The 25,946-nt window shown below is 43.2% G+C and overlaps 1 protein-coding gene across 4 annotated transcripts in view, besides 2 other annotated features; it reads left to right on the forward strand.

The window, feature by feature from the left end:
- Positions 4,868-25,946, forward strand: part of RGS3 (regulator of G protein signaling 3) — a 153,009-nt gene continuing 131,930 nt past the window's right edge. For 3 of the 4 annotated variants that reach the window (NM_001282923.2, NM_001394167.1, NM_017790.6), the window contains exon 1: positions 23,865-24,019. Coding sequence is in view for 3 of the 4 variants with exons in the window: in NM_001394167.1 (NP_001381096.1) it covers positions 23,941-24,019 (79 nt within the window). In the remaining variant the exon portion in view is untranslated. Of the gene's footprint in view, positions 5,066-20,382; positions 20,475-21,844; positions 21,999-22,158; positions 22,340-23,864; positions 24,020-25,946 lie in introns of those variants that run through there. The other variant, NM_144488.8, reaches the window with a different exon arrangement.
- Positions 22,768-23,722: an enhancer, noted in NCBI's record as "H3K4me1 hESC enhancer chr9:116224910-116225864 (GRCh37/hg19 assembly coordinates)". NCBI's record gives its function as "activates a minimal SCP1, AML or CMV promoter by ChIP-STARR-seq in primed H9 embryonic stem cells {active_cell/tissue: H9 hESC(primed)}" and the evidence as "EXISTENCE:reporter gene assay evidence [ECO:0000049][PMID:30033119]".
- Positions 23,723-24,677: an enhancer, noted in NCBI's record as "H3K4me1 hESC enhancer chr9:116225865-116226819 (GRCh37/hg19 assembly coordinates)". NCBI's record gives its function as "activates a minimal SCP1, AML or CMV promoter by ChIP-STARR-seq in naive H9 embryonic stem cells {active_cell/tissue: H9 hESC(naive)}" and the evidence as "EXISTENCE:reporter gene assay evidence [ECO:0000049][PMID:30033119]".

Consider the following 25,946-nt stretch of genomic DNA (forward strand, 5'->3'; position numbering starts at 1 on the left):
TACATTTATTGATTTGCGTATATTGAACCAGCCTTGCATCCCAGGGATGAAGCCCACTTGATCATGGTGGATAAGCTTTTTGATGTGCTGCTGGATTCGGTTTGCCAGTATTTTATTGAGGATTTTTGCATCAATGTTCATCAAGGATATTGGTCTAAAATTCTCTTTTTTGGTTGTGTCTCTGCCCGGCTTTGGTATCAGAATGATGCTGGCCTCATAAAATGAGTTAGGGAGGATTCCCTCTTTTTCTATTTATTGGAATAGTTTCAGAAGGAATGGTACCAGTTCCTCCTTGTACCTCTGGTAGAATTCGGCTGTGAATCCATCTGGTCCTGAACTCTTTTTGGTTGGTAAACTATTGATTATTGCCACAATTTCAGAGCCTGTTATTGGTCTATTCAGAGATTCAACTTCTTCCTGGTTTAGTCTTGGGAGAGTGTATGTGTCGAGGAATGTATCCATTTCTTCTAGATTTTCTAGTTTATTTGCGTAGAGGTGTTTGTAGTATTCTCTGATGGTAGTTTGTATTTCTGTGGGATCGGTGGTGATATCCCCTTTATCATTTTTTATTGTGTCTATTTGATTCTTCTTTCTTTTTTTCTTTGTTAGTCTTGCTAGCGGTCTATCAATTTTGTTGATCCTTTCAAAAAACCAGCTCCTGGATTCATTGATTTTTTGAAGGGTTTTTTGTGTCTCTATTTCCTTCAGTTCTGCTCTGATTTTAGTTATTTCTTGCCTTCTGCTAGCTTTTGAATGTGTTTGCTCTTGCTTTTCTAGTTCTTTTAATTGTGATGTTAGGGTGTCAATTTTGGATCTTTCCTGCTTTCTCTTGTAGGCATTTAGTGCTATAAATTTCCCTCTACACACTGCTTTGAATGCGTCCCAGAGATTCTGGTATGTGGTGTCTTTGTTCTCGTTGGTTTCAAAGAGCATCTTTATTTCTGCCTTCATTTCGTTATGTACCCAGTAGTCATTCAGGAGCAGGTTGTTCAGTTTCCATGTAGTTGAGCGGCTTTGATTGAGATTCTTAATCCTGAGTTCTAGTTTGATTGCACTGTGGTCTGAGAGATAGTTTGTTATACTTTCTGTTCTTTTACATTTGCTGAGGAGAGCTTTACTTCCAACTATGTGGTCAATTTTGGAATAGGTGTGGTGTGGTGCTGAAAAAAATGTATATTCTGTTGATTTGGGGTGGAGAGTTCTGTAGATGTCTATTAGGTCTGCTTGGTGCAGAGCTGAGTTCAATTCCTGGGTATCCTTGTTGACTTTCTGTCTCGTTGATCTGTCTAATGTTGACAGTGGGGTGTTAAAGTCTCCCATTATTAATGTGTGGGAGTCTAAGTCTCTTTGTAGGTCACTGAGGACTTGCTTTATGAATCTGGGTGCTCCTGTATTGGGTGCATAAATATTTAGGATAGTTAGCTCCTCTTGTTGAATTGATCCCTTTACCATTATGTAATGGCCTTCTTTGTCTCTTTTGATCTTTGTTGGTTTAAAGTCTGTTTTATCAGAGACTAGGATTGCAACCCCTGCCTTTTTTTGTTTTCCATTGGCTTGGTAGATCTTCCTCCATCCTTTTATTTTGAGCGTATGTGTGTCTCTGCACGTGAGATGGGTTTCCTGAATACAGCACACTGATGGGTCTTGACTCTTTATCCAACTTGCCAGTCTGTGTCTTTTAATTGCAGAATTTAGTCCATTTATATTTAAAGTTAATATTGTTATGTGTGAATTTGATCCTGTCATTATGATGTTAGCTGGTGATTTTGCTCATTAGTTGATGCAGTTTCTTCTTAGTCTCGATGGTCTTTACATTTTGGCATGATTTTGCAGCGGCTGGTACCGGTTGTTCCTTTCCATGTTTAGCGCTTCCTTCAGGAGCTCTTTTAGGGCAGGCCTGGTGGTGACAAAATCTCTCAGCATTTGCTTGTCTATAAAGTATTTTATTTCTTCTTCACTTATGAAGCTTAGTTTGGCTGGATATGAAATTCTGGGTTGAAAATTCTTTTCTTTAAGAATGTTGAATATTGGCCCCCACTCTCTTCTGGCTTGTAGGGTTTCTGCCGAGAGATCCGCTGTTAGTCTGATGGGCTTTCCTTTGAGGGTAACCCGACCTTTCTCTCTGGCTGCCCTTAACATTTTTTCCTTCATTTCAACTTTGGTGAATCTGACAATTATGTGTCTTGGAGTTGCTCTTCTCGAGGAGTATCTTTGTGGCGTTCTCTGTATTTCCTGAATCTGAACGTTGGCCTGCCTTGCTAGATTGGGGAAGTTCTCCTGGATAATATCCTGCAGAGTGTTTTCCAACTTGGTTCCATTCTCCACATCACTTTCAGGTACACCAATCAGACGTAGATTTGGTCTTTTCACATAGTCCCATATTTCTTGGAGGCTTTGCTCATTTCTTTTTATTTTTTTTTCTCTAAACTTCCCTTCTCGCTTCATTTCATTCATTTCATCTTCCATTGCTGATACCCTTTCTTCCAGTTGATCGCATCGGCTCCTGAGGCTTCTGCATTCTTCACGTAGTTCTCGAGCCTTGGTTTTCAGCTCCATCAGCTCCTTTAAGCACTTCTCTGTATTGGTTATTCTAGTTATACATTCTAAATTTTTTTCAAAGTTTTCAACTTCTTTGCCTTTGGTTTGAATGTCCTCCCGTAGCTCAGAGTAATTTGATCGTCTGAAGCCTTCTTCTCTCAGCTCGTCAAAATCATTCTCCATCCAGCTTTGTTCTGTTGCTGGTGAGGAACTGCGTTCCTTTGGAGGAGGAGAGGCGCTCTGTGTTTTAGAGTTTCCAGTTTTTCTGTTCTGTTTTTTCCCCATCTTTGTGGTTTTATCTACTTTTGGTCTTTGATGATGGTGATGTACAGATGGGTTTTCGGTGTAGATGTCCTTTCTGGTTGTTAGTTTTCCTTCTAACAGACAGGACCCTCAGCTGCAGGTCTGTTGGAATACCCTGCCGTGTGAGGTGTCAGTGTGCCCCTGCTGGGGGGTGCCTCCCAGTTAGGCTGCTCGGGGGTCAGGGGTCAGGGACCCACTTGAGGAGGCAGTCTGCCCGTTCTCAGATCTCCAGCTGCGTGCTGGGAGAACCACTGCTCTCTTCAAAGCTGTCAGACAGGGACACTTAAGTCTGCAGAGGTTACTGCTGTCTTTTTGTTTGTCTGTGCCCTGCCCCCAGAGGTGGAGCCTACAGAGGCAGGCAGGCCTCCTTGAGCTGTGGTGGGCTCCACCCAGTTCGAGCTTCCCGGCTGCTTTGTTTACCTAAGCAAGCCTGGGCAATGGCGGGCGCCCCTCCCCCAGCCTCGTTGCCGCCTTGCAGTTTGATCTCAGACTGCTGTGCTAGCAATCAGCGAGATTCCGTGGGCGTAGGACCCTCTGAGCCAGGTGTGGGATATAGTCTCGTGGTGCGCCGTTTCTTAAGCCGGTCTGAAAAGCGCAATATTCGGGTGGGAGTGACCCGATTTTCCAGGTGCATCCGTCACCCCTTTCTTTGACTCGGAAAGGGAACTCCCTGACCCCTTGTGCTTCCCAGGTGAGGCAATGCCTCGCCCTGCTTCGGCTCGCGCACAGTGCGCGCACACACTGGCCTGCGCCCACTGTCTGGCACTCCCTAGTGAGATGAACCCGGTACCTCAGATGGAAATGCAGAAATCACCCGTCTTCTGCGTCGCTCACGCTGGGAGCTGTAGACCGGAGCTGTTCCTATTCGGCCATCTTGGCTCCTCCTCTCATAATTATTTCTTGAATGTGCGTTGCATTGCAGAATGACTTATGTGGGCTGGGTTTAAAAAATTTACAATTTTCTTTCTTTCTTTTTTTTTTTGAGGCGGAGTCTCACTCTGTTGCCTAGGCTTGAGTGTAGTGGCACCATCTTGGCTCACCGCAACCTCCGCCTCCTGGGTTCAAGTGATTCTCCTGTCTCAGCCTCCCGAGTAGCTGGGATTACAGGGTGCTTGCCACCACACCTGGCTAATTTTTGTATTTTTAGTAGAGACAGGGTTTCGCCATGTTGGCCAGTCTGGTCTCGAACGCCTGACCTCAGGTGATTTGCTTGCCTCGGCCTCCCAAAGTGCTGGGATTACAGGCATGAGCCACCGTGCCTGGCCTACAATTTTCTTCACTTCTTATTAGCCTACCCTCAGACCTGTCCACTGGAGCAAACCCAATTCCTAATGGTCAGTGGTAGGGATGAGGACAAGGCAGGGTTTGCCTTCCATTTGCTTATTTTATCTAAAGACTTAGGCAGAGAAGAGAAGGTATAACTATTTTATAACAAATTCAACTACTTTATTGGTGAAGCAACTCTCAGAAATTGGAACATTCTTTTAAGTCCTGTTGATGAGTACACAGTTACTTTTTGAATCCTGGTGGATTTTGAGTGAGAAGATATGCACTATCTGAATGCTAGCTTTTGTGTCTATTTTCAAAGGGAGATAAAACACTTGCAGACTGAAACTTGTTTTACCTTTCACATAGCAATCCCTCAAATTTAGACAATCACAAACAGAACCCTGGGAAATATAATCTCCAAACCATGTTAGTTTTCAAGGTGCTTTACACTCACTATTTCAGTTGGTTCTCTGGCCAACTACATAGATAGATGTGGACTGTATCCAGTTGATAAATTAGGCTCAGAATACAGGGCTGATGAGAGCCCATTTGGGGCCTTTGAGTGAATTAGAAAAAGACACCCTTTAAAACACTTTACTATCATCTGTTGAAAATTAACTCAATGACTGTACAAATCTAAGATGGTTATAATATGAGCAGCATCCCTAGAGTTGGTCCACGACCTTCACAACAGACCTAGTGGCCCTGCTGGAGAGGCCAAAAGTCAAAGGTGAGCAAGTAAAGGGGCCTGGGCTTAGAACTTTGGCTCAGCCTGTCTTCATCCACTGTATCCTGACACCTCTCCTACTCCTTCTCTTTAATGTACAGCTGAGACTGGGATACCCTTAGACTGAAAGGAAGGACACGGCTATGTAGAAAAGAATTGACTGAAGGGGAGGAGTACTCGTGAACCCCTTGCTTCAGCCTCCCAATGTTCTGAGAGAGGAGGAGCCAGGTAACTGCTGCTAACTGCCATTTCCCCACCATCTGGGCCTAAGGAAGCAGAAGTAAGGCTTAATTAATAGCCAGTATTGCTTGGAGATTCACTTTACTTATTTAAACCAACAAAAAGACTTAAGATTTAGCCTGTTGGAATATGGTTCTAAGAGGCTTATATTTCCAAGAAACTAGTCCTTAGTTTCTTTTGTTCTTTGCTACTTTGTGATCCCTGCTAGAGACAGGCCACTTGCTTTGGGTTACCATAATTTTCTTTTTCTTTTTTTTTTTTGTTTTTTGTTTTTTGAGACAGAGTTTTGCTCTTGTTGCCTAGGCTGGAGTGCAATGGCGTGATCTCGGCTCACCGAAACCTCCGCCTCCCGGGTTCAAGCGATTCTCCTGCCTCAGCCTCCCATGTAGCTGGGAATTACAGGTGCCCACCACCATGCCTGGCTAATTTTTGTATTTTTAGTAGAGACGGGGTTTCTCCATGTTGGTCAGGCTTGTCTCGAACTCTGCCCTCAGGTGATCTGCCCACCTCGGCCTCCCAAAGTGCTGGGATTACAGGTGTGAGCCACTGTGCCTGGCCTGGGTTACCATAATTTTCTAAGCACACTTCCTAGTGACACCTGGCCCAGTTTGACACCTGTGTAGAAGCAATAATCAATGAAAGCATCTTCAGATATTCTAGGCCCATACTCAGAGCCAGCTGGACTTTGATTTGGTATTGGTCCCAACCTCTGGGGTGACATATGCTGTTCTTCATTGATTTTGTTTTTGTATGTTTTGAGACAGACTCTCCCCCTGTTGCCCAGGCTGGAGGGCGGTGGCGCAATCTCTGCTCATTGCAACCTCCGCCGCCTGGGTTCAAGCGATTCTTGTGCCTCAGCCTCCTGAGTAGCTGGGTTTACAGTCATGTGCCACCAAGCCCAGCTAATTTTTGTATTTTTAGTAGAGACAGGGTTTCTCCATGTTGGGCAGGTTGGACTCAAACTCCTGGCCTCAAGTAATCCGCCCACCTTGAGCTCCCAAAATGCCGGGATTACAGGCGTGACCCACCGTGCCCAGAATGTTTTTGAATTATAGAAAACCCCTTGGGTTTGGTGGGAGGGAGTGAGGGTTTCATCCATGACACAGTGACACTTAAAAAATCAGTTTATTCAAATGCACTAAAGGAATTGCTTGATAAATTAAGGACAGTAATACCTCTGGCCTTAGATAGAAATGATTAGAAGGTCCTTCTTAGATAGAAATGATTAGAAGTCCAGAGGAATCTGGGAAGGAATTTCTAAATTTTCTCTTTCCATTGACATAAGGTACCAGGGTATGAAATTCATTTGTCCTTGTATATATGCATTTATTTAACAGATATTGGGTATCTAATACATATTAGAGAATCATCCCTTAGATTATCTTGATAGAGAAAAGAAAAGTTCTGGAGAAATGGTGGAGAGTCATTCCCAGGAATATAGCTTTGTAAGAAAATTTTCCTGGATCAATTGGTAAAGTTTTCTGGAACCACTAGGTGGTGATATTACATTATGAAAATGACATGCTTTCCTTGACACCTTTCAAATAACTGCAGGCCTCTGGTAATTTCTGAGGCCAGTGTCCCCACAACCAAAGAAACGTCTTAATGAGTAAATGAAGAAAAACACATTCCATCATTTACATATATAAATTTACATATGTAAATTTAAATGCTCCAGGGGACTGGTAGTTCCTCGAGAGAAGGGTCTGTGCCTATTGTTTTCATGGTTACAACCTCAGGTGGCGTGTAGGAAGCCCTTGATCAATGCTTGATGAATGAATCCAACTCTGAACAATTTTGATGACCATTGAAAGGACCATTCCAAGAGTGTGGCAAAAAAGGTGGCACATGTCCAAAAGGCCTAGGATTTTGGGAATTAGGAGCTGTTGATGATCCTGACAGATTATCAGTTGGGCAGAGACTCAGGAAGGCAGTATTTGGAAGGGCAGAAATATCAAAAGTGATCTGAGGCACTTATAATTCTTTGTATCCCCTAAGCTTACCTTGGCCAGATTTCATCCTTTAAAAAATACAGGGAGGGGCCGGATGCGGTGGCTCACGCCTGTAATCCCAGCACTTTGGAAAGCCGAGGTGGGTGGATCACGAGGTCAGGAGATCGAGACCATCCTGGCTAACACAGTGAAACCCTGTCTCTACTAAAAATACAGAAAAATTAGCTGGGTGTGGTGGCACGTGCCTGTAGTCCCAGCTACTTGGGAGGCTGAGGCAGAAGAATTGATTGAACCCGGGAGGTAGAGGTTGCAGTGAGCCAAGATTGCACCACTGCACTCCAGCCTGGGCAACAGAGCAAGACTCTGTCTCAAAGAAAAAAAAAAAAAAAGAAAAATACAGGGAGGGTGTAAACCAATAAATTCTGATGTATGTATATGTATATATATATATATATATATATATATATATAGGCAAGGGTTGAAGATAAATAAGGTAGAAATGTCTACTTTATATTTTTGGCCTTAACTATGCCAGTGTAATTAGAATTCCCTATATTTAAAATGGTTCCTTTTACTTATTGAATATATATGTATAAAATTTTTTGGGGGTCTATATTACTTCTTGGGATGGCTTTGCCTTAGAAGGAATCTTCAAAAATCATTTTTAAAAAACTCTTCTCTGCCTCTCATTCATTGTTTTATTTGCTCATTCATTTATTTGCTATAAATTCATTCATTCCTCAAATATTTATTGAGCACCTATTATGTACAAAGCAGTGGTCAAGTTTGTGTGATCATCTTTGACCTTTTCTTTTTATGGTCCATCTGAATTCGGTTAATTAGCAAGTCATATTAGGTGCAGCATCCAAATCTATCCACTTCTCTCTGCTTTTTCTGCTATTACCCTAGTCCAGGTCTCTGTCTTCTTGCATCTGGATTATTGCATTACCCCTAGTCTTTTTTTTTTTTTTTTTTTGAGACAGGGTCCCGCTCTGTTGCCCAGGCTGCCAGGTTGGAGTGCAGTGGCACCATCACAGATCACTGCAGCCTCGACCTCCTGGGTTCAAGCTATTCCCCCATCTCAGCCTCATGAGTAGCTGGGATTACATGTGTGTGCCACCATGCCCAGCTATTTTTTATATTTTTTGTAGACATGGGGTTTTGTCATGTTGCCCAGGCTGATCTCAAACTCCTGGGCTCAAGCCATCCTCCTGCCTCAACCTTCCAAAGTACTGTGATTATAGGGATGAGCCACCATGCCAAGCCTAACCCCTGATCTTTACCCCGACCATCCATTCTTCCATCTTTCCACCATGTGAATATCATGATACATCTTTCCTTAAAACTCTCCTTTCCCCTTAGGATCAAGCCTAACCTCTTTCACTTGGTTTACAAGCCTCACAAGGCAGGGCTATGACCTGGCTTCTCTCCCCCCAGCCCCATTGCCACTCACTCTCACCTTGTTCTATGTGCTCTAGCCAAGACTTTTTTCTTTAGGTTCTTCTAATGAACCATGTCCTCTCTTACCTTCTGACTTTTTTTTTGGTACTTTTTCTTCGACTTCTTCTTCCCCCTTCTGCCTGGCTATTTTCTACTCATTCTTTAGGTCTCAGCTTACATATGACTTATTTGGGAATAAGCTTTTTCTGACCACTGTCAAGATGAAGTTCTCCTCTTTCACTTTTTCTCTCATAGCCACTATTGGGGTTCACAGCTTGTCTGTTGCCACCCTCTACTGCCAGACTGACTTCTGCGAGTGGCAGAGCTCTCTCTGTCTTCACTATATAAATATCCGGCACCTCACTGAGTGCCTGGCCCACTGTAAGTGCTTAATAATATATGTTGAATGAGTGAATAAATGAAAAAATATATATGATGTGTCTTCTTTCTTCAGTGTACTTATAATCCAGCAGTGTGAGGTAAGTGGTACAAAGAAAGAACTACAGTGATGAGAAGAAGGAGAGGTCACTTTGGATATTACCATTTAAGGCTGGGTTGGGTTTTGGCAAGTGAAGATGTTTGTGGAGGTGGCGTTTGAAGTGGAGGGAAGTGACATAGGTGGGAAAAGTTTGGGGAGCAGGCAAGGAGCATAGTGTTCCTATCTCAGAAGAGTAGGAGTGGGACTGAAGACAGCTTGTGACTAGATTGTGCAGGGCCTCGACTCTGATAGCCAATGGGAAGACATTGATGGCTTCTGAATCAGGGAGTGATAGCACTAAATCAATGCCTTAGAAAATGCTAATCTAATGGCAGAGTGAAACATGAATTGGAGAGAGAACAGCAAGACCAGTTAGGAGGCTATCATAGAAATCAAGATGGGAGGTGATCAGGGCCTGAATTATGTAGATGTCAATAAGAATGGAGACAAAAGGATACTATGCAAAGGAAGAATGAACCAGAACCCGGAAACCAGAAAGGAAGAGTGAGGGAAAGGGAGGAGTGAGGTGCTTTATTATCGGAAATGTGAAGTCAAGAGGAAGAACCAATTTAAGGAAAGATAGAGATCATTAATCAAACCTTTACAATGAAATTGTGGTTATATATACATTTTACTTATGAGAATTCCGTCAATGTGTGGGGTTAAAATGAAAGCCCAAGTGGGAGGGAGTGACAAAGAAGATGCACTGCAACTAATGGGAGCTGTTCCAGTTCTTCCACTCTGAAAATACGTCCCAGAGGGAGTGTGAGATGGGGAAGGTCAAGTTGCTGTTCCTCATTTTATGTCAACCATGTGTATTTTATGGTTGACATAGGGATTATTTAAGGATAACTGTGGTTATTCATGATTTATGTCTTATACACTGATTTTAGAACCAAATTCCCAAGCCAGATTTTGCTTTTTATTTATTTATTTTTAATTTTATTTTTTGAGACAGAGTCTCACTCTGTTGCCCAGGCTGGAGTGCAGTGGCTCAGTCTTGGCTCACTGCAACCTCTGCCTCCCAGGTTCAAGTGATTCTCCTGCCTCAGCCTCCTGAGTAGCTGGGACTACAGGTGCCCGCCCCCACTCTTGGCTAATTTTTTTGTATTTTTAGTAGAGATGGGGTTTCACCATGTTGGCCAGGCTGGTCTTGAACTCCTGACCTCAGGTGATCTGCCCACCTCGGCCTCCCAAAGTGCTGGGATTATAGGCATGAGCCACCATGCCTGGCCAGATTTTGCTTTTTATTTTTATTTTATTTATTTTTACTTTTTTGAGACAGAGTCTCGCTCTGTTGCCCAGGCTGGAGTGCAGTGCCGTGATCTCGGCTCACTGCAACCTCGCCTCCCGGGTTCAAGTGATTTTCCTGCCTCAGCCTCCTGAGTATTTGGGACTACAGGCACATGCCACCATGCCAGCTAAATTTTTTTTTGTATTTTTAGTAGAGACGGGGTTTCACCGTATTAGCCAGAATGGTCTCGATCTCCTGACCTCGTGATCCACCCGCCTTGGCCTCCCAAAGTGCTGGGATTACAGGCATGAGCCACCGTGCCTGGCCAGATTTTGCTTTTTAAAGCATGTGCCAGGCCCCAGGCTTGGCAGTAGGCAGATACTAAGAAAACACGTCAGTCACTGCATTGGAGCTGCTCACAGTCTAGTTGGGTAGAAAGATATGGAAGCAGACAGTGAGCACTACAGTCTAGGTGAGCAGTCAGAGAGAAGGGTGGAGGCAGAGGGAAAGGAGACTGGTGGCTGGTGTGTCAAGGCAGAGGTGGTGCTGGGCCCTGGGAATGGAGAGAGATCTAGGAGTCGTTAGAACAGGTGAGCGCAGCAATAGGCGTGCATGAGCTCTCAGAGGGAAAGAATATTGAGGAGGGAAGAGGACTAAAGGCCACAGCCAGGAACACACAAGAAGGTAAGCAGAGTCAGAAAACAGAAGAGTTGTCAGAGAAGCAGCAGGAAAACTCAGGCAAGGGGGATGAGGACTGTGAATAGGCAAGTGGTCTGCATAATGAGGAAGACAATGGTGACTGCGGAGTGAATGAAGTTTCAGCAGTGTGGTGAGGGCAAAATAAGGGGTCCCCAGGCCGGGCACAGTGGCTCATGCCTGTAATCCCAGCACTTTGGGAGGCTGAGGCGGGCGGATCACGAGGTCAGGAGTTCAAGACCAGCCTGGCCAATATGGTGAAACCCCATCTCTACTAAAAATACAAAAATTAGCCTGGCGTGGTGGCGTGTGCCTGTAATCCCAGCTACTCAGGAGGCTGAGGCAGAAGAATTGCTTGAACCTGGGAGGCGGAGCTTGCAGTGAGCCGAGATCACACCACTGCACCTCCAGCCTGGGCAACAGTGCAAGACTCCGTCTCAAAAAAAAAGAAAAAAAAAAAAAAGGTGGGGGCAGGCCTTCAGTGATTGGAAAGAATCTGGAAGCAAAGGCAATACATGCCACTTCTCTAAGTTCCAGCTCCAGAACAACTAACTTAGATATGTCCTCTAGTTTCCAATCAGATTTCCCTGGAGAAGGTTTGGGATCCCTGGATGCCATGACCTTTGCCCCTGTTTCTTTACAGTATGGTCTGCTATGTCCACTGGAAGGGCACTTCACCATCACAGTACATGGATCCAGAAACAGACTTTACTCTACATAAGCCTTATATTCAAACCTGAGTGCAATCCAGCTGATCTCAACTGTGGTTGTTGCATTTTAGACTACACATATCTATATTATTTTCTTCCATAAGTAGCATCCATATTCCCACATGATTGCAATTGCTAACTTGCTAATAGCTTCCCTTGAGTTTGCTTCTTGCAATTATCTAATCAGAAGGCAACATATGCAATTTATTACAGGATGCAGGGAGCTCTGGGTGTTTTTTTTTTTTAAGTCAATGGTTCCTATCCTAGTTATACTGTTCTTTTAAACAGATTTAAATAATAAGAAAAGCTATTTCATATATACCCATGTGGTTAGCATTTCCAGTGTTCTCTTTATTCCTTTGTGTAGATCCAGACTTCCATATGGTACCATTTTCCCACAACTTGAAAGACTAACATTTCTTGTAGCGCATGTTTGCAGATGATGAATTCAGTCAGCTTTTGTAAGTCTGAAAAAAATCTTTATTTTACCTTCATTTTTGGAAGATATTTTTTGCTGGGTAAAGAATTCTGTTTTTCTTTTTCTTCTTTTTGTTTTATTTTTCTTAAGAGTCAGGGGGTCACTCTGTTGCCCAGGCTGGAGTCCAATAGTGTGATCATAGCTCACTGCAGCCTCAAATTCCTGGGCTCAAGCAATCCTCCCACCTCAGCCTCCCGAGTAGCTAGGACTACAGGCATGCACCACCATATCTGGTTACTTTTTAAATTTTTTTTGTGGAGATGGGTCTTGCTATTATTTATATACACAGGCTGGCCTCAAGCCATCCTCAAACCATCCCTTCACCTCGGCCTCCCAACATGCTGGGATTACAGGCATGAACCACTGCACTCAGCCTGTTTTTTTTCTTTCAATACATTAAAGATATTGCTTCCCTGTCTTCTGTCACATAGTTTCTGATGAGACGTCTGATGTCATTCTTATTTTTGCTCCTGTGTATGTAATGTGTAGTTTTTTTTTTTTTTCTGGCTGCTTTTAAGATTTTATCTTTTCACTAGTTTTAAGCAATTTGATCATGATGTACTTTTAGGTTTCTTCACGTTTCTTCTGCTCAGAGTTCATTGACCTTCTTGGATTTGTGGGGTTTACAGTTTTCATCAAACTTGGAAAAAGCCCAACCACTATTTCTTTAAATATATTTTCTGTCCCCTACTTTCTTCTGGGATTCCAGTTATTATACATATCTATTCCAGTTAATAATATGTGTCTATTAGGCTGCTTGAAGTTGTTCCATAGCTCACTGATGATCCATTTATTCATTTATTTTGGTCTTCTTTGTGTTTAATTTTGGGTGGTTTCTACTGCTGTGTCTTCGAGTTCACCGATCTTTTTTTGTGCAATGTCTAACCCATTGTTAATCCCACCTTTTGTGTTTTTTATCTCAGGCATTATATTTTTCACCTCTAGTTGTTCAATTGGGTCTTTTTATATATATAAATATATATTATATATTTATATATAATATATAAATAAAATATATTTATATATGATATATAAATAAAATATATTTATACATAATATATAATATATAAATATAAATATATATTATATTTTATATATAATATATAATATATATAATATATAATATATAAGTATACATTATATATATTTATATAATATAGAAATATATTTTATATAAATTTACATACTCATTATATGATTATATAATATACTCATATGATTATATAATATACTCATATGATTATATAATATACTCATTATATGATTACATAATATACTCATTATATGATTACATAATATACTCATTATATGATTACATAATATACTCATTATATGATTACATAATATACTCATTATATGATTACATAATATACTCATTATATGATTACATAATATACTCATTATATGATTACATAATATACTCATTATATGATTATATAATATACTCATTATATGATTATATAATATACTCATTATATGATTATATAATATACTCATTATATGATTATATAATATACTCATTATATGATTATATAATATACTCATTATATGATTATATAATATACTCATTATATGATTATATAATATACTCATTATATGATTATATAATATACTCATTATATGATTATATAATATACTCATTATATGATTATATAATATACTCATTATATGATTATATAATATACTCATTATATGATTATATAATATACTCATTATATGATTATATAATATACTCATTATATGATTATATAATATACTCATTATATGATTATATAATATACTCATTATATGATTATATAATATACTCATTATATGATTATATAATATACTCATTATATGATTATATAATATACTCATTATATGATTATATAATATAATAAATATATATATCTTCCATGTCTTTACTTCACATACTCTTTTTTTATTTTTATTTTTAAACAGGGTCTTGCTCTGTCACCCAGGCTGTGATCATAGCTCACTGCAACCTCGAACTCCTGAGTTCAAGCCATCCTCTCATGTAGCTAGGACCACAGTCATGTGCCACCATGCCCAGCTAATTTTAAAAGTTTTTGTAAAGATGGGGTCTAAGTTGCTCAGGCTAGTCTCAGACTCCTGGCCTCAAGCCATCCTCCTGCCTCAGCTGCTCAATGTGCTAGGATTACAGGTGTGAGCCACCATACCTGGCGTACTTAACATGTCATTTCTCGGTTGGTTTCTATTGATTTTCTCCTTATTATGGTTCATATTTTTTTCTGCTTCTTTGCCATACCTGTTCACTTTTTATTAGATACCAGATTTAACAAATTTTGCCTTTTTGGGTTCTAGATATTTTTATATTCTTACAAGTATTCTTTAGCTTGTTCTGGGATGCAGTTAAGTTACTTAGAAACAGTTTGATCCTAGCTGGGTGCGGTGCATGCCTGTAATCCCAGCACTTTGGGAGGCTGAGGTGGGTGGATCACTTGAGGTCAGGAGTTTGAGACCAGCCTGGCCAACATGGTGAAACCCTGTCTCTACTAAAAATACAAAACTTAGCCAGGTGGGGTGGTGCACACCTGTAGTCCCAGCTACTTAGCAGGCTGAGGCATAAGAATCACTTGAACCTGGGAGGTGGAGGTTGCAGTGAGCTGAGATCTTGCTACTGCACTCCATCCTGGGCGACAGAGCGAGACAGTATCAAAAAAACAAAACAAAACAAAACAAAACAAAAACCAAAATCAAAAACAGTTTGATCCTTTTGGGTCTTGCTTTTAAACTTTTTTTTTTTTTTTTTTTTTTAGATGGACAAGTACAGCATTTAATCTAGGGTTGATTATTCCCCACAACTGAGGGAAGACCCTTCTGAGTATTCTATCTAATACCTCCTAAGGAATTAGAAGGTCTTTCCACTCTGGTTGATGAGCTTAAGAACTATTCCTGGCCCTGTGTGAGCTTTAAAGATTGTTCCCTGTAATTCTTTGGTGGTTCTTTCCCCAGCCTTGGGATACTTTCCTCAAACCCATGAGCTCATTAGCACTTAGCTGAAGTTGTGAGTGGGGACTCTCTGGAGACCTCTGGGGCCCTCTCTTTGTGTGACTGTCTCCTCTCTGGTACTCTGCCTTGGAACTCTAGCTGCCTTGGCCTCCCGAACTTCTCAGTTCAGGGATTTGGAGTTGGCCTGAGTTCCCTCTCCCTTTTGGAAAGTCTCTCCCGGGAATAAGCTGGGCTGATCACAGGGCACAGCTTGTCTCTTTTCTGTTTCTCAGGGATCACTGTCCTTCGTTGCCTGATGTACAATATCTTAAAAACCATTGTTTCATATATTTTGTCCAGTCTTTTAGTTGTTTCAGGTGAAGGGAAAATCCAGTTCCTGTTATTCCATCTTGGCTGGAAACAGAAGTCTATATTGTTTTTTAATTTTGAAAAACTGAGGGCCTCTGGAATGTAGGATTATGCCAGGCCAAGTTGCTCATTATCAGGCCAGGAAAAGCAGCTCTTGAAGAGGCTGAAAGGGCTTCCAGCCTAACTGCGAGGGTGCTGAGTCATTCTAGCAGAGACCAGGCACTCTGCTTTTCTGGCTCTTATCAAGTCTTTAGCTTTTATCTTTGGACTCAACTTACTAGTTCACATTCCTTTGGTGGTGAAGGTTTGGTCTCTTCCACTTTGAAGCAGTATCTCTCCGCTTACACTTGAAATCTTGAATCTTTTACTTGGTTCTCTTTAGTCCCTGTTTGTGTATTTAGGTCACTAGAGGCTTCTACATCTGGGGCACATTAAAGTTCCTCAGTGGTATTTACAGCAACCAGCATCTGTTTCTGTAGAGAACAATTAACCCAAAGATACCACCTTGTTCTACCTTGAAGATGAATTACAGAGACACTTTTAAAAGGCAAATCCTTCATTTCAAGGGTGAATAAAATACCACTTAACAAAGCATTCCAGCTGGTTAAATTTAGGACATGAAAAAAACCTGACCCAAGAATATCGTCTGGCTTTGAGTCCAGGGTGTTTTTCCTTTTAGAGTAAATTTGGTACCTTTTCATTCATGTGAAGTTGTTGCCCCCCAGCATTTTATTCTGGGATGAAAGGTCAACAGGGACTGTCTTGTTGCTAAATCTAATGGACACTTCTCAGTTATTAAACCTACTGGACCTCTTAACAATATTTGACACTGTTGACTATTATTTCCTTCTTAATACATCCCCTGACTTTTCCTTCCCCTTTCAGGCCTTTCTTCCTCTGCCTGTTTTTTCAGTTGGTACTACTCTTGGTTCTGTCCTGAGCTTTCTCACATTAAACATTCCCTGTGGGCTGTCTTATGCATGCTCATGGCCTCACAGGGAATTCCTAAATCTATATTTCTAGCCTAAGTATTTTTTGCTGAGCTTCAGACCATTATGTTCAACTGTTCACTTGACATCTTCACTTGGATGGCACATGGGTCACCCAACCTTAGCAGGCTCACAGTTGAACTCATCCATTCTCCCCTCAGTTCAGCCCTGCCTCTCATGTTCTTCATTTCTGCAAAGGGCACTTCTAAACAATTTCTCAAGCCAGAATTCCTTGCATTCCATCTTCTACTCAATCACCATGGCCTGTTGATTCTATCTCTTTCCATCCCTATTGCCACTTCCCTAGTTTGGTCATTGTCATCTTTTACCTGGATGACCAGAAAAGACTTCTAAGAGCAATTTTTGCTTCCGACCCTCATGTCATGCAAACGCCTCCACCCCTAACCAATTTGTTTTTTTTTTTTTCGTATTCTAGCCAGAGCAATCTTTCTAAAATGTGAATTAAAGGCTGTTGGGATCTTGCTTAAAATATTTGACAACTGCTCTATGCTCTTAAAATAAAGCCCAATCTCCTTATAATAAAATATGCAGCCCTATATGATTTATTTATTTTTTTTTTGAGACAGAGTTTCGCTTTTGTCTTCCAGACTGGAGTACAATGCGATGATCTCAGCTCACTGCAACCTCTGCCTCCGGGTTCAAGCCATTCTCCTGCCTCAGCCTCCCGAGTAGCTGGGATTACAGGCATGCGCCACCACACTGGCTAATTTTGTATTTTAGTAGAGATGGGTTTCACCATGTTGGCCAGGCTGGTCTCAAACTCCTGAACTCAGGTGATCCACCTACCTCAGCCTCCCAAAGTGCTGGGATTACAGGCGTGAGTCACCGCGCCTGGCCGAGGCCCTGTATGATTTGGCCCCTGTTTACTTTCTTGCATATTACTGATTCCCTCACGTTCTAAGTTCCCTGCCACATTTCCCATTGTTCAGTTCCTCAAACGTACAACGCCCCCTCTCACTTTCTGGCCTTTACATGTTTTGTTCTTTCTGCCTGTAACCCTTCCTTCCTCTCCTATACTTGGCTAAATCATACTGCAGGTGATTTTCTTTGGGCAGTCTTCCTTGACCCCCTTTATCATCTTGGTTTGCCTAGCTCCCCAGATTAAGTGAAATGTTATTCTATGCTTCCAGAGGTTGCTGTGTTTCCTCTATTGTAATGCTTACCCAATCTCCCACTTGACTATAAACTCCATCTTTTTCACTGCTATATGTATCCCCAGTGCCCAGTTATAAGGCTCAGCTCCATAGGTGCTTAGCAAACACTTGTTGAATTGAACTTTAATGTGTCAGTAGCCACAGAAGTCTCAGTCCTGCTAGACCGTAGCCTTGCCACTTTGAGCAAGAGGACTGCTGGGAGAGATGGTATTCTATAATGGTTCTCTTGCTGGGAGCTGGATTTTTATTTCCCCACTGTTTATTTACTAGTTTAGCAACCTGATTCAGTTAACAACTCTGCATCTTAGTTGCTTCATATATAAATACAAATGCTTGAACTTTCTGAAAGCAAATGGTGGGCCAGATTTTTTTTTCTTTTTCATTTCCTTGGTTACTAGAAAACCCAGGTAGCTTTTGAGGCAATTTCTATAAGACCTTCAAGAAACAGATGATGCCAATGCAATTTTGGCTATTTCAGAACCCAGGAAAAAAATGAAGATTTGTCAGTGCTAGGTAGGAAGCTAGACAGAGACAAAAACCAAATAAGGTTAGAAACAGGAAACTATAGACAAAAGGTCAAAGGTAAAAATCTCTTCATAGACCAATTTGACTGATGCCTATAGATGTAAAAATACTAATAAAATATTAGCAAATCAAATCCCACAGTGTATGCATGATCGAGTCAGTAGAGACGGGGTTTCACCATGTTGCTCAGGCTGGTCTCAAACTCCTGACCTCAAGCGATCCGCCTGCCTTGGCCTCCCAAAGTCCTGGGATTACAGGCGTGAGCCACTGTGCCTGGCCAAATTCATTTTTTTAGTTAAAAACATTTTACATTTTTCTGGCCATAGAAAAGTCTTTAACTTTAAAAATTTTCACCCAACCATTTGAAAATGTAAAATGCATCCTTAGCTCACCTGTTGTACAAAAACAGGCAGCCAGCCAGATTTGGTTGGTAGGCCATAGTTTGCCAACCCCTGCACTAATATGTTCACTAAATTTGAACCATTTTTGCATCTCTAGGATAAATACCAACTTGATCATGAATATACTGTTGGATTTGATTTGCTTGTATTTTATTAGTATTTTTACATTTATATTCATAAGTCAGATTGGGCTATGTAGAAATTTCAAACTAGCTGTGGGGTATAGATGTATTCTATTTAGCCTTCATAACATTTTAAAACATTTTGAATGAGTTATTAATATTAACAAATTGGGAAATATTACATGGATTATTTAAGATTGCTGGCTTTTCTTTAAAAAAAAGTGACAAAACTGGGAGAATGTTGGCCTAGTTTCGCCACATTTTAATAGATCTGCTCTATTGTATATTTTCTTTCTTTTTTCTTTTTTTGAGACAGAGTCTTGCTCTGTTGTCCAGGCTGGAGCACAGTGGCATTATCTTGGCCCACTGCAACCTCTGCCTCCCGGGTTCAAGTGATTCTCATGCCTCAGTCTCCCGAGTAGCTAGGACTACAGGCGCATGCCACCACACCTGACTATCTTTTGTATTTTTAGCAAACATGGGTTTCACCATATTGATCAGGCTGGTCTTGAACTCCTGACCTCAGGTGATCCATCCATCTTGGTCTCCCAAAGTGTTGGGATGACAGGCATGAGCCACTGCATCCAGCCTCTATTGTATATTTTCTATTTAATTAACTTCTATTCTTACTTTTATCTTTTACCTTTGGTCTATAGTTTTCTGTTTCTAACCTTACTTGGTTTTTGTCTTTGTCTAGCTTTCTACCTAGCGCTGACACATCTTTGTTTTTTCCTATGTTCTGAAATAGTTAAAACTACATTAGCATCATCTGTTTCTTGAAGATCTTATAGAATTAGCCTCTTAAAACTATCTGGATTTTCTATAATTTTGTCGAATAGAGTTTTGGTTTCCTTTTCTATTTTATCTATAGTTAGTGATCTATTAAAAATTTCAAACTTTTTATCAATTTTACTAATTAATACTTTCTAGAAAATCATCCAGTTCCTTTCAGATTTTCAAATTTATACAATAAGGTTGCAGTGGTTTTCTCTTATAATTTAAAATATTAGCCAGCACGGTGGTTCACGCCTATAATCCCAGCGCTGTGGGAGGCCAAGGTGTACGGTTCACTTGAGGTCAGGAGTTCGAAACCATCCTGGCCAACATGGTGAAAACCTGTCTCTACTAAAAATACAAAAATTAGCTAGGTGTGGTGGCGCGTGCCTGTAGTCTCAGCTACTTGGGAGGCTGAGGTATGAGAATCGCTTGAACCTGGGAGTGAGCTGAGATTGTGCCATTGCACTGCAGCCTGGGTGACAGAGCGAGATTCTGTTTCAAAAAAAATAAAAAAAAAGAGGCCGGGCTCAGTGGCTCACACCTGTAGTCCCAGCACTTTGGGAGGCTGAGGTGGGCAGATCACCTGAGGTCAGGAGTTTGAGACCAGCCTGGCTAACATGGTGAAACCACCTTTCTACTAAAAATACAAAAAATTAGCCGGGCATGGTAGTGTACACCTGTAATCTCAGCTACTCGGAAGGCTGAGGCAGGAGAATTGCTTGAACCTTGGGAGGCGGAGGTTGCAGTGAGCAGAGATCGCACCACTGCACTCCAGCCTGGGCAACAAGAGAGAAACTCTCTCAAAAAAAAAAAAAAAAATCACCTGTATATCTTGGCTTTCTCTTCCCTAAACTTGCTTATTTCTGGTTTTCTGTATACATTTTGCCAGAGGTCTATTTTACTGAACTTTTCAGAGACAAGGCTTTGGTCTTATTGTTGAAGTTTATTTTTTTGAGGATAAATTTCACCTTTAACCTTATTTCCTTTTAAAATTTTCTCCTGGCCAGGCGCAGTGGCTCATGCCTGTAATCCCAGCACTTTGGGAGGTTGAGATGGGCAGATCGCAAGGTCAGGAGATCGAGACCATCCTGGCTAACAGGTAAAACCCCGTCTCTACTAAAAATACAAAAAATTAGCCGGGCGTGTTGGCGGGTGCCTGTAGTCCCAGCTACTCGGGGGGTGCTGAGGCAGGAGAATGGCGTGAACCCAGGAGGTGGAGCTTTCAGTGAGCCGAGATTGCGCCACTGCACTCCAGCCTGAGTGACAGAGTGAGACTCCGTCTCCAAAAAAAAAAAAATTTTTTTTTCTTCTGAATTAGCTTATTCCTCTTCTAACTTTTTGAAATGAATTTTTAGTTAAAACACTTTAAATCTTTGTTATTTTCTAAATAAATTATCCCCTTGAACTTTCTACTCTAATTCCATCGATCTGTCTTTTCTTTTTAGTTTTATATTATTTAACACCATTTAACATCTGGTAGTACAAGTTCCCTTTGTTATTATTTTTCTAAGTTTTCTTGGTTATTATTGGGCTAGATGATATCTTAAAGTCACTAAGATTCTTTGAGAGTTATTGTGAAAATGCACCCAAATAAATCCATTTAGTCCCTTCTTTTCAAACTCAAGTATTCCTTATTATTCCAGATATAGTCAGTCTTTAAAAAAATGCCTAAAATCATTGCTCGATACTTTATTAAGTGCTTCAAATCAATCTGTATATATGCATATGGTATATATGTAGTGTATGTGTTTTGTGTGCATGTGTCAGTGTGATGTGTGCTTATATATATGCATAGGATGCATATATAATGTGTGGGGTGTGTTTGTATATGTATGTGAGGTGTGTATGTAGTGTGTTTATGTATGTGTATATGTGCATATGATGTGACTGTGTGTGTACATGGGATATGTTGAGGTATGTGTATGTATGTGTGCAGAGTGTATGATTGTTATCGTGTGTGGTATGATAATGTATGTGTGGAGTGTGTGTGCACATGTGTGAGGTGGAAGAACCCCAGGGGGTGCTAGAATGCTCAGGACATGTGAGAAAGCCAGGCTTGGTCCAACTCTCCTGCCTTCTTGGGGAAAGCAGGGCCATGATCATGAGCCTTTCTGGATGTTGCTTTTGGACAGCAGTGTGGGTTAATAGGGCCAGTCTCTCCTGAAGTGCCCTGCCCAAGCTCCCACTCACCTCTCTCCTCCATCTCTTGAGGAAAGGGTGACCGACCTGTCCTTTTAGGAAAAGGAAGCTTCCAGCACGCTACTGAGTAAAGGAGCCTTACTGGTGGTGGTGAAGGTGATACCATCAGAGGGGCCAGCTCAGGATCAGGCTGGCCTTGCAATCTTCCAACTGAATATGTTAGCTGCAGAGTGGGGCAGGAGTCAGGAGGGGACCTACAAAGCAGTAGAATCTTTGTTCCCATTACCGGGTGTAAGTGCCCAGTGTGGGCCTCGGTCTTTTCTCTCCTAGGTCACATTCAGACAGCACACCTTTGCCCAATTTTCTTTCTGGATCTCACCGTCCTGAGTGTTGTACCTGCAGGTTGCTCACAGCCTCTGGAGCCCAAGATAGTCTCCCCTTTGGGAGGAGGCTCTACAGTGGTCCCTGGCGAAGTTGTGAAGAGGTGACTATCATCTCAGGCACATCACCTTCCCTTTTCCCTGTGGGCCTTCCTTTGCTGTTTCCTGAACACCATGCTTTCTAGTTCCTACTGGGAGTGAACACACCTTGCATGGAGCATCTTCAGGCCATGGCTAACTCATGCTCCCATCTTGCTCCTGCAGGTCTGCCACGTCTCTGTGCTCAGTGTCCTCTCTACATCCTGTGGCTTGAGCCTGAGCTTGCCCATATTCCCTGGCTGGATGGAGTGGCTAAGCCCTGATATCGCTCTGCCCAGAAGAGATGAGTGGACTCAAACTTCTCCAGCCAGGAAGAGGATCACGCATGCCAAAGTCCAGGGTGCAGGTAAGTCCATCTGTCACTGGCTTGAGGCTAGGAGAGTGGACCTGCTCTTGTTAAAGGCAGTGTTCACCATGTGTGTGTGTAACCGGGGTTGGAGGGGGAGAGTGGGGTGGGGTGGGGGGGTGCAGTAAAGAGCAGGGCAGGACTTCACGAAGTGCCAGGATTCAAACAATCCTACGGCATTTATGTGATTTATCACCAGTTTGCTGATTCAGGGCTCCTTCTGCAGTTTCTGCTCCTCGCTGGTGGCCACCTGACCCTGTGGCGTTTGCTCCTTCCACCTGCTGTTGGCCATGGGGCAGATGTGGAGGCCAAGGAAGAATAGGACAATGGCGTTTGGGGCAGACAGGCCTGGGTTCAAATTTCAGCTCTGCCTATTCCTAGCTCTGCAAACCTTGGGCATGTCACCTGTCTTCTCTGCCTGAGGTTCAGATTTCTTCCTGGTAAATTGGGGCTAATACTTATTAGACTTACCGTGAAGATTAACTGAGATGATGTGTGTAAATTGCCCAGCTCAGCTCAGCCTCTGGCATCTGGTACTCAACACATAACTCTTCTCTCCACTTTCTGTCTTGCATCTCCCCATCTTGTTTTTGAGTGGATCACTGAACCACAAATATCCACTTGGCGATGAAGTCTGGGGAACAGGGACAAATACCAACACTTCCCATTTTTAGATTTACACGAGACTAACAGCTTTCCTTCCCACAGTGGCAACAGAGATTTGCAGAGCAGATGTCTTGGTGTGAAACTGCTACGAGGAGGTGTCCTGTAAATGTTTGCTGACAAAGCAGCAAAGCAGGGTTTGACCTTCCAGCTCTGCCTCCCCGCACCAGGCTGGGGGATTCACCCACCCCACTCCGTTTCCTGTGCGTTCCTCTTTCTCAGAGGCTGTGGGCCTGTCCTGCTGTCCGATGGCATCAGGCTGTGGGACGGGGGGCCATCAGGTTGGTTGGAGCAAGCTGCTCCCATCCGGACCTGTGTCAGGCAGCACTTGTTCAAGAGGAGGCTCAAGAGAGTGATCCAGGATGCAGGGTTTGGGAAGAGGATGCAGCATGGTGGGGGGCGACCTGTCCAAGCGCAGAGAACACTTTTCCAAACCTCACTGCCCTGGGCCATCGGGTGCTCCTTTGCCTTTGCTTGGATCTAATGATTATAGGCCTGAGCTTCAAAGCAGGTTATAAACCCGACTAATTGCTGGTCTAGGAGAGCTGGACGAGGAGGCCAAGCCTGCCCAGAGTGGGCACCCCGGACTGGGCCTTCTCGTGGGACTGGCATTTCCAACCGGGAGCGCGGTGCTGGGGCCGGGATACCCGGGGTGGCCGCACCGTCCTGCTGGCTCCTTGGGTGGCTGCCGTCGCTGCTCAGCGCGGGTCGGCGGCGCCGCCTCCCCCACCCCGGCCCAGCTCTGCTCCGGCAGGTGGAACTCTCCCCATTCAAACCCGCGCGGGCCAATCAGGGCCGGGCGCGCCCTGGCCGTTCCAACGCTTGGGGCAGCCCTACCTCCCGCTCGCGCTCCTCCCGCCCTGGAGACTCCGGTTACTGGGGAGCAACACAGCCGCCTCGGGTTGCAGACGCTCCTGTCCGGGTCGCAGTGGGACGCCATGGAGCGCTCCCTGCACCGCGTCTCCCTCGGGAGCCGGCGTGCCCACCCGGACTTGTCCTTCTACCTCACCACCTTTGGTAAGTGCCCGCTGGGGCTGGCGGCAGGGGCTGCTTCACCCTGCTCCCAGCGCCCAGAAACGCAGCCCCTCGTGGTGACAGGGGAGGCTGGGAGCAGGTGCTCTTTCTATCTAGGGGCACCTTCTCTGGCCCCTTTCTCCTGTGACTGCCCAGGAGGGGCTCAGGGCACAGGCTCAGTCCAAGCAAGCTGCTGGACACCACCTGCTGCCCGGCCATGAGTGCCAACTGCGGTTGGTTCTGCCTCACTTGGCTGGAATAATCACGCTCTGGTTAATCTTTCAGAGACCTGGGTTGTCACCACGGAGTTTCTCATTAGCAAGCAGCTCAGGTTAAATCAAGGTCTTGTTATAGCAACTGGAGATCTCATTCACCCACTTTCCTTTGGCTCAGGGAGCGGACAGGTGCTGGGCCCTTTGGCCCTGCTGCCTTGTGGGGAGGCTGCAATTTGACTTTGTTGGGTATCTGAGCCACAGTGGAGATGGGAGAATTCTCTCCTCCAAGAAAGAACAATCCCTTAGGAGGGTCCCAGGGCTGCCTCAGGGTTTGAGGTGGAAAGAAGTGAACAGTAGGCTTCACTCCCAAGCCCCTAAGTAGCAGACTGAGTTCCCCCAAATAACAGCTGGGCGGCAGCTGCCCAAAGGTCTGGGCAAACCTGGCCTTCCTGGTAGCCATAGTAAAGGTAACAACCCTACCCTTGAGGGTAACCCTTCATTTCCTCACTGGTCCTGCAACTCTCTGTGGAGAGGGGTTATTTTTCCTCTGTGAAGACTTGAAACCAAGAGATCTTCCATGAGCCAGTGGCAGAGTTCGTAGCTGAGCTCAAGCTTTCCAGAGATGACCTGTCCAGCGCATTTTTGTTTGAACTTGCATACAATTTCCTTCTAAAGGTTGGGGCTGTTACTGAAACATTACTGGACATTGCCCAGCTTTCAAAGACAGAGTGCCCAAGGAGTTTGGTCCCTCCCTGGGGTTCCTGGCTCTTCTGTTTTCAGGCTTACTCCTGCTCAACATATTTGGTTTTCCACAACCTGCTTTTTTTCCTTAGGGGTAGAGGGAATGATGGAAGAGCAGTGGCTTGGCCTCTGAAATTGCCTGACGTCTGGCAGCAGGAATTCACTGGTCTAGTTGGTGGACGATAAAGGGCAATTAACTAGCCATCATTTGTTGAGAACTTACCATTGCCATTCCTTATGCCAAGTGTTTTACCTGCATTATCTCACTTAATGCCCCAGCGTAGGAGGCAATTCCTGCTAACCCCATTGGGATGCAGGGCTCTGTGAGACAAGGGTGGTTTCCAGGATGATCTGTATTGGCTGGGGTAGGAGTGATCAGGAAAGGGTGTCAGGGAGCTGTGAGGCCCTCTTACCTTAGCTGTGTCCTGATTAAAAAGTAAAAATATGTTTGCTTTTTTCCTCCTTATTATCATGGTTACATGTGTTTACTGCTGAAAACTTAGTGAAAAGAAGAAAGTGAAAATCACTTGTAATCTGACTTCCCAGGGAGACCACTGTTAACTTTCTGATTTATATCCTCCCAGGCTTATTTCCACACCTATTTCTGTGTGTGTGTGTGTGTGTGTGTGTGTGTGTGTGTGTGTGTGCCTGTGTGTATTTAGGGGTCAAATTTCAACACAATTGAGATCAAGTTTGTATGGACAATTTTGTAACCCATATGTTTTCCTTAGTGGCCTGATGTGAATATTTCCTTGCATTGGTCCATGTTCTTCTATTAGATTAATCTGCCTGCCAGATCTGGGAAGCTGAGGAGGGTTCAGGCCCAGCAGGGAGTGGATCTTCCTGCCCAGCCATGGCCTCAGGGCTGAGTCTGATGGGTATCAGGGAAGGCTGCTGCTTGAACAAGTGACTGTGACCTGAGTGTGCAGGAGGCAGACAGGAGCCTGGGTGGGGTGGGAAGCCACCTGCTCTTA

This window comes from Homo sapiens, chromosome 9 (genome assembly GCF_000001405.40).
Source record: "Homo sapiens chromosome 9, GRCh38.p14 Primary Assembly".
In the NCBI taxonomy this organism is placed as follows: domain Eukaryota; kingdom Metazoa; phylum Chordata; class Mammalia; order Primates; family Hominidae; genus Homo; species Homo sapiens.